This window comes from Homo sapiens, chromosome 1 (genome assembly GCF_000001405.40).
Source record: "Homo sapiens chromosome 1, GRCh38.p14 Primary Assembly".
Lineage (NCBI taxonomy): Eukaryota > Metazoa > Chordata > Mammalia > Primates > Hominidae > Homo > Homo sapiens.
In genome coordinates, this window is record NC_000001.11 from 13,125,170 (window position 1) to 13,133,303 (window position 8,134).

Consider the following 8,134-nt stretch of genomic DNA (forward strand, 5'->3'; position numbering starts at 1 on the left):
ATTTTAGGTGTGCACCCAATATAACAGTATATATGCGCTGCTCTTAAAGACAAGAAGGCTCGCTCTTTTTCTTTCTTTCTTTCTTTCTTTCTTTCTTTCTTTCTTTCTTTCTTTCTTTCTTTCTTTCTTTCTTTCTTTCTTCTTTCTTTCTTTTTCTTCCCTTCCTTCTTTCCTTCTTTTTCTTTCTTTCTTTCTTTTTCTTACTTTCTTTCTTCTTTCTTTTTCTTTCTTTCCACCTTTCTTTCTGTTTCCTTCTGTCTTTTTCTCTCCCCTCCCTCCCTCCCTCCCTCCCTTCCTTCCTTCTTTCCTTCCTTTTTTTTGAGGCAAGGTTTCATTCTGTTGAGCAGGCTGGAGTGCAGTGGCACAATGATGGCTCACTGCAGTCTCAACCTCCTGGGCTCAGGTGATCCTCGCATCTAAACTTCTTGGGCAGCTGGGACTACAGGTGCACACCACCATGCCTGGCTAATTTTTCGTATATAGTTTTTATAGACAGAATTTTCCATGTTGCCCAGGCAGGTCTCAAACTCCTGCGCTCAAGTAATCTATCTGCCTTGGCCTCCCAAAGTGCTGAAATTAGAGATATGAGCCACCACACATGGCCTGAGTTTTCTTTGTATACCTAATGGTATCACTTTAATCAGAATCTCTCTGTTCAATATCAGGGACAAGGGAGGACTTTAAGGATGGCAGAACATTAATTATCAAAATATGCTGGGGAATGGCACGAGGGTATTGATGAGGATGAGGGGCCCTGGGAAACACCTGTGGGTGAGGGTTGCTGGGAAATGTCCCACTGTGGGAAGATCCCTGAGTCTAAAAGAAAGGTTTCCAGACCATAGCACCATGACAGAGACTTGGACCCTTGTTCACTTTCTCCCACATCCTGCAAAACCCACAGCTCCCACCTTCGATGGCTTCCAGGTTGGGAAAGTCTCCCTTCCCAGGTCTGGCCACACTGCTTCTCTCTGGCATCTGCCCCAGCTCAGATTCTCAGATTCCATCTTCCCAGGCTGATTTTCTGAGGCGAGCCCATCATTTTTGGGAGTAAACACGCTTTCCCTTCTAGTAGGGGCCAAGACTGTTTCTGCCTTCTCTGCCCTCAAAGACAATGTTGTGTTTGAAGAGTCTGCACTGTCTCTTCTGTAACTATTCCCTTTTTAATTTTTAAACTCAATCCAGACAGAGTCTTTCAATCCTTCTGTGGAGATGCCCACAAAATACCCACCATGTTTTATGCTGTCTTGGTTCCTTCCCAGGGTTCTACTAGAACACCCGGTCCCATCCTGCCCAGCCCCCACCTCACTTTGTCATTCTGTCCTGATTTCCTGCAGTGAAGCCTTGACCTTAGTCTTGTGATCAATAACACCCTCAGTGGTTCCCCTCTTCAACCTGAACCCACATATGACCTGCCCCGTTAGGAAGCATAAAACCCAGGTAACTGTTGGATAACAGAGCTTTGTATTCTGTTTTCTTAGGGTTGACATCACCGTCTTTTTAAAGCTGTCTTAGCTCTGAAACGTTTGGATAATTTCAATGTGGCCAAATATTCTCCCATAAAGATATCATCAGGTTTTGTTTTTTCTTTCTAATGCCAGGAACAGATTAAACCTTCCATGTCACTATGAAGGTCACATGTTAGTCAAACTTCATCAGTGTTTGGGGAATAAATGAATTAATGACTTTTGGACTTTCACCCTGTTATTTATTCTTTCACTTTCATAAATGCACATCTAATTTAATCAATGAATCAGAAGAAAGTGTGAAACTCAATCAGGATTAACTGGGTGGAACTTCAGGATCTAATCAGGTATCACTTTCTGATTGGAAGCTGGTGATTGAGAAGGGGAGGGTGTGGTTAGAAACATCAACAAAAGCTCCTGAGTTTGCACAGGACAGACCCAAAGCCCTGGTGCCTGGAGCTACTGCTTGGTTCTCTGAGAGGTCCCAGCACCCTGCAAACTGAGTCCAGATCTGGTAAGTCACCACCTTCTTAGGAACATGCCCGTCTAATCTGCAGCCAGCCAGTCAGGGATGGTGACACACAGCCCAAAATGGCACAGAGAATTTCCTGTCTGTTTTTTCAGATTAAACAGATGTAGGTTTTGATTTTTCCTCCAAATATAGTTTTGACTTCATCCCTCAAATTTTGATTTGTGCTTCATTTTCCTCATTTCAAAATTCTTATTGAAGCAGTTTTTAAAAAAAAAATATTAAAAATTTACAGTTGGATGGATGTTTATGTCTTGACATGTGAAGTTGTTGGTTTCTGTGCCTGTCAGCTATAGTTCACACACTTAGCGGTATTGTGATTTTATTAGTCAGGCTTTCATTTTACAGAAATCTTAGATCTCCCGTACACCATTCTCAAGAGACTTGTTCCGAACCTGGGATTTATCTCTTCCCTTAGACTCTGTCCCTAAGTGTGTGATTGTGAGTATGTGGAAGGGATGTGTATTGGATCCTTCTCCTCAGACTTAGTGTTTCCATTTCTACCTTCCAAGTGCTCTAGACTACTGCAACACTGCTTTTATAATTTCTCTTACAGTTTTTCAAAATAAAAACACACACCTTGGACTCCCAAAGTGCTGGGATTACAGGAGTGAGCCACTGTGCCTCATCTAGAGTTAGTATTTCTATCCCTACCTTCCAAATGCTCTAGAATACCATCACGTCGCTTTTAGTTTCTGGTTAATTCTTTTCTCTTGTTCTGAGATGGAGTCTCACTCTGTCACCCAGGCTGAAGGGCAGGGTGTTGAGTTCAGCTCACTGAAAACACTGCCTCCGGGATTCAAGTGATTCTTCTTCCTCTGCCTCCAGAGTAGCTAGGATTATAGGACTGCACCACCACACCTGGCTAACATTTTAATTAATTAATTATTATTATTATTATTATTATTATTATTATTATTTGAGACAGAGTCTAACTCTTTTGTCCAGACTGGAGTGCAGTGGTGGGATCTCGGCTCACTGCAACCTCTGCCTTTTGGAGTCAAATGATTTTTAATTTTTTTATATTTAGTAGAGACAGAGTTCATTACGTAAGCCAGGCTGTTCTCGAACTCCTAACCTCAAGTGATCTGCCTGTTTTGGCCTCCCACAGTGCTGGGATTACAGACATGAGCCACAGCACCCGGTCAGTTTCTGGTTGAAATTTTTCAAAATAAAAAATAATGGCATTGACTTTAGGGAGTCCCTTTAGTGTTCCCCCAGCATGTTCATGGTGAAAACTGAGAATGGAGGCTGTCTGGGGCCACAGGACACTCTCATTCTCATTGCTTTAGGGCGGTAAGTGACAAGAAAATTTTCCTCAAAGAGGTAGAGCTTGGCTTTCAGGATCCTCAGTGACACTTTCCAGTGGTACTGGGATTCAGTGGAGCCATGGATGAAAATTAATGGGCCAGTGGTCTCTTTGACCCCTCCCTCCTTGGTGTTTGGAAGACATTCTTCCTGGTACCAGCAGAAGCAGAAATATAGATTTGTGGCCACCAAGTGCAGAGTGGAATTGGGGTAAAGTGGTAATTTTTCTACCTCTACCAGAGCAATGCTACTGGCCTTAGGAGAAGATGAGGTGATTGTGTTTGGCCTGAAAGTGATGCCTTTTCTCTGGATTTGTCTTCTAGAGTTTTTCCTTACAGATTCATCAGGATGAGCATCCAGGCCCCACCCAGACTCCTGGAGCTGGCGGGGCAGAGTCTGCTGAGAGACAAGCCCTTGGCCATCTCTGCCCTGGAGGAGCTGCCCAGGGAGCTCTACCTCCCACTCTTCCTGGAGGCCTTCAGCAGGAGACACTTCCAGACTCTGACAGTGATGGTGCAGGCCTGGCCCTTCACCCGCCTCCCTCTGGGATCGCTGATGAAGACGCTTCATCTGGAGACCTTAAAAGCATTGCTGGAAGGGCTTCACATGCTGCTTACACAGAAGGATCGCCCCAGGTGAGGTGACCCAGGAAGGCTGGTAGATGGGGCTCAGGTGTCCAGGGAAAGAACAGCAGGGTCAGGCAAAGAAGTATCCCAAGGATGGCCCAGTGTCTTCTGGTGGTGCTGGTGACGAAGCTCAGGCATGCCTTGGCCATTGCCCAGATCCTCAGGGAAAGAACTGCCCACAATATAGGGTCCACTGTGGGAACAGAAACTTGCCTATTCCCAGTGGAAGGTAAATGGAATAGAAGTGGGGACCAGTCAGAATTGAAAGAGAAAAGGGACCAAGAAAACTCAGAGAGAACAGGGAGCAGCGAGGACAGGAGCAGCTGATTTATTGGATGAGAATGAAAGCAAAGGTCAGGGATTTGTCCTTCAAAGTTCTGAGCCTCTGCCTTACTTTACCCACAGGAGGTGGAAACTTCAAGTGCTGGATTTGCGGGATGTTGATGAGAATTTCTGGGCCATATGGTCTGAATCCAGGGCCCTGTCCTCCTCCCCAGAGGCCATGAGTAAGAGGCAGACAGCAGAGGACTGTCCAAGGATGGGAGAGCACCAGCCCTTGAAGGTGTTCATAGACATCTGCCTCAAGGAAATACCCCAGGATGAATGCCTGAGATACCTCTTCCGGTGGGTTTACCAAAGGAGAGGTTTAGTACACCTGTGCTGTAGTAAGTTGGTGAATTATCTAACGTCGATTGAATATCTCAGAAGATCATTGAAAATAATCCACCTGAATAGTATTCAGGAGCTGGAAATTTGCTATGTGTCCTGGCCACATCTGATAAGAAAGCTTCATTGTTACCTGAAGGAGATGAAGAATCTTCGCAAACTCATTTTTCTCCAGGTGCCATCCTTACACGTCAATTACCGCGAGGAATGCTCAGTCGCCAAAATCAGCTCTATGTTCCTCAGGCTGAAACACCTCCAGCTGCTTAAAATGAATATGGTCACCTTCCACAGAGGGCACCTGGGACAGCTGATCAGGTGAGAAAGGATCGTGCCCTTTCTCTGCAGACCACAGCGCAGCCTTTTTTTTTGTTACAGTAAACACTAGAAGACGTGTACTGTGTGCCAGCCAGTGGCGACGGCACAGTGCAGGGGACACCAGAATGTCAACACATTGTCCCGTTCAGTGCTCCATGTCCTGGAGTGGCTATCACAGGATCACTTCAATAAAGGCAGAGGGGTCACCTAGGGTAGAGGCTAGAGAGGGACATCATGTACAAGGTACTTAGTGGGCGTTTTGTCTCTACTGCATGTGCACGTGTGAATTTCTTGTTACAAAGTGTGTTTCAAGTTGATATGATGTAAAAGAGGTAACAAAGGAGGGTATGAAAGGAGGGACAGTGCATCAAACTTGTGCATTTCACAGTAGAAGCTCTGTCCTCACCAGCTTAGTGATCATGAATGATCCTGTCTCTGATTCCCTGTCTGTAGAAGGTTGTTTTGAACTCCAGGAAAGTCAATTGACATGGGACATGCATGCTTCTGGGATGGAGGGTGAAGGAGTAGGAGTGAGAGTGGTAAAAAGTGACAGTTGGTTTGCAGATGCAGGCAGGCCAGGGAGCCCCTGCCGGCAGGTAGCCCCAGCTAATGTCCCTAGACCTTGCTGAGTTGAGTTCTTTGTGCACATCTCCCACCGGGTACCTGTGGCCCAGAGATGAGGTTTTCTGCTAAAAGATGAAGATAAAAGGCTTTAGAGATTTTGTGGCCTTGACCCAATCACACAAGAAATGGTGAAAGGGCTGAGGCTAAAATGGGACAGCCCCTGAATGATCAGGGTCCTCAACATGCAGCAACTTGCATGAGGACCATCATCAGATGGTGGGAACAAACTTGTGTTTGGTTGAAGCAGGTATTTTCCTTGAGTTCATTCCCCACTACCTTCATCTAACTGGTACCATTGCCCAGAACTAACTTCTTGATCTCCACAGGTGCCTCTAGAACCCCTTGGAGAACTTGGAATTAACTTGCGGCTACCTATTGGAAGAGGACTTGAAGTGTCTCTACCAGTACCCAAGCCTCGCTTACCCAAAGCATCTGAATCTCAGCTACATGCTGCAGTTCTGTATCAGTCTTGAACCCCTCGGAGCTCTGCTGGAGAAAGTTTCTGCCAACACGAGGGTCTCGAGAGAGGCAGCAATTACTCTTAAGACCCTCATCTTGGAGGGCTGTCAGATCCACTACTCCCAACTCAGTGCCATCCTGCCTGGCCTGAGCCGCTGCTCCCAGCTCACCACCTTCTACTTTGGCAGAAATTGCATGTCTATGGAAGCCCTGAAGGACCTGCTGTGCCACACCAGTGGGCTGAGCAAGTTAAGCCTGGAGATGTATCCTGCCCCCGAGGAGAGTTTGAATTCCTTGGTTCATGTCGATTGGGAGATCTTCACCCCACTTCGGGCTTAGTTGATGTGTACACTAAGGGAAGTCAGGCAGCCCAAGAGGATCTTCATTGGCCCCGCCCCCTGCCCGTCCTGTGGCTCATCACCGTCTGAGGAACTGGAGCTCCATCTTTGCTGCTAGGGAAGGCGTGCCTAGCGGGGTAGAGAAATCCAATGTTCTCTTCTAGGCCCTTGGACACTAAAATCTAGTATGTAGGTGCAAGTTATTTTCCTCTTTTCTTATTTCCTTTTTTAATAATTCCAATATTTTTATTACAAAAAAATTGAGAAAGTGTTTCACTATGTTGCCCCAGCAGGTCTCAAACTGCTGGTCGCATGGGATTCTCCTGCCTCGGCCTTCTAAAGTGCTGGGATTACAGGCATGAGCGACTGTGCCCAGGCCACATGTGCAACTTAAAGGAAGCACAGAGCTCTGTTTCAGACAGGTGCTCAGTGCGAGGGAAAAAATCCTAAGAGCAGGGGGCAAGACTTGAGGAAAATATTGAGGTGGAGTCAATGAGAGCTACAGAGTCAGAAAGAGAAACTAAAATTCTTCAGTGATGAGAATGTTATCCCTGCAAGGATGATTACCAAGAAATATCAGAAATAGAGAACCTCAGTGAAAACTTTCTGGTGTCCTCTGTAATTGATTTACTTGTTTTAGGGATTTATACATCAGAAATCTCTAGTTATTGAGTTACTGATGGAAAAATAACGAGGCACTAGTTTGTCTGTGATTGAGGTTCAGCTGCGGAACATCATAGCAGCCAAATAAAATTAGACCATTTTGAGTAATTCCCACCCATTCTTGTTCTTTTATTTCATTATTTATTTTTTTATTTTTGGAGACAAAAATATTGCTTTGTCATTCAGGCTGGAGTGTAGTGGTGCAATCTGGGATCACTGGAATCCTTTCCTGTGGGGCTCAAGTGATTCTCGTGCCTCAACCACTCAAGTAGCTGGGAGTACAGGCACGTGCCACCAAGCCTGCTAATTTTTGTATTTTTCGTAGAGACAGGGTTTTACCCTGTTCACCAGGCTGGTCTTGAGTTCCTGGCTTTGAGTGATCTGCCAACCTTGGCCTCCCAAAGTGCTGGGATTACAGGTGTGCGAATGGTCTGCACCCATCCTTTACTTCTCTTTAGTCATCTGTTTTTTCATACTTTTTCGACTGTGGGGAGCAGCTCGGTCGGGCACAAAGGCACAGGCAGAAAGGGGCCATGAGGAGAAGATGGGCTTGGGGTGGTGCCGTGCTTGCACATGAAGTGTGGTTGTCAGGTTCCAAAGGCAGAGCTGGGGCCATGCTCCAGGGCCCCGAGTTGGGAAGCAGAAATGGCACCAAGTTCAATGACCTGGCCAGCTATGCATCAACTGTGTGCCCACCCTGCTAATAGTATCAAGTTCCTAGGTCTAAAAAGGAGTTCTGTGTGAATCTTCCTGAGGCTGCATTTCCAAGATCTGCCCCCAAGAGGGGTGAACACAGAGCCTGATGCTTCCGATTGCTGGGCCTGTGGACCACGATCCACTCCTAAAGGCACCACCTCTTGGCTGGGTTGTCAGCCAGGCCTGTGCCCCATGTCCCTGAGGCAGCCAACTGTGCCACCCATACCCTCTCACGGCTAAACGGGACTTGCCCCTAGGTCCGCAGTCTCCACCACAGCCTCGACCTCACTCCCCACTTTGTGCTGTTAGCCTGCAAACTCCTGGATCAGAGCGCAGTTGGGGCTCATTAAACCGGACCCAGGAGCTTCAGATTTGTTTCTGTGGGGTTGACCAGAGCTGCTGTGAACCTGCATCTCACCTGTCACCTCTGCACGGAAACAGAGAGAG

At 46.5% G+C, this 8,134-nt stretch overlaps 1 pseudogene across 1 annotated transcript; it reads left to right on the forward strand.

Annotated features, from left to right (window-relative positions):
* The first annotated feature begins 1,899 nt into the window (after positions 1 to 1,899).
* On the forward strand, positions 1,900 to 7,105 carry PRAMEF36P (PRAME family member 36, pseudogene; annotated as a pseudogene). The gene is made up of 4 exons (NR_111945.1): positions 1,900 to 1,977; positions 3,624 to 3,935; positions 4,332 to 4,907; positions 5,858 to 7,105. The product of NR_111945.1 is annotated as a PRAME family member 36, pseudogene (transcript).
* The last annotated feature ends 1,029 nt before the right edge of the window (positions 7,106 to 8,134 follow it).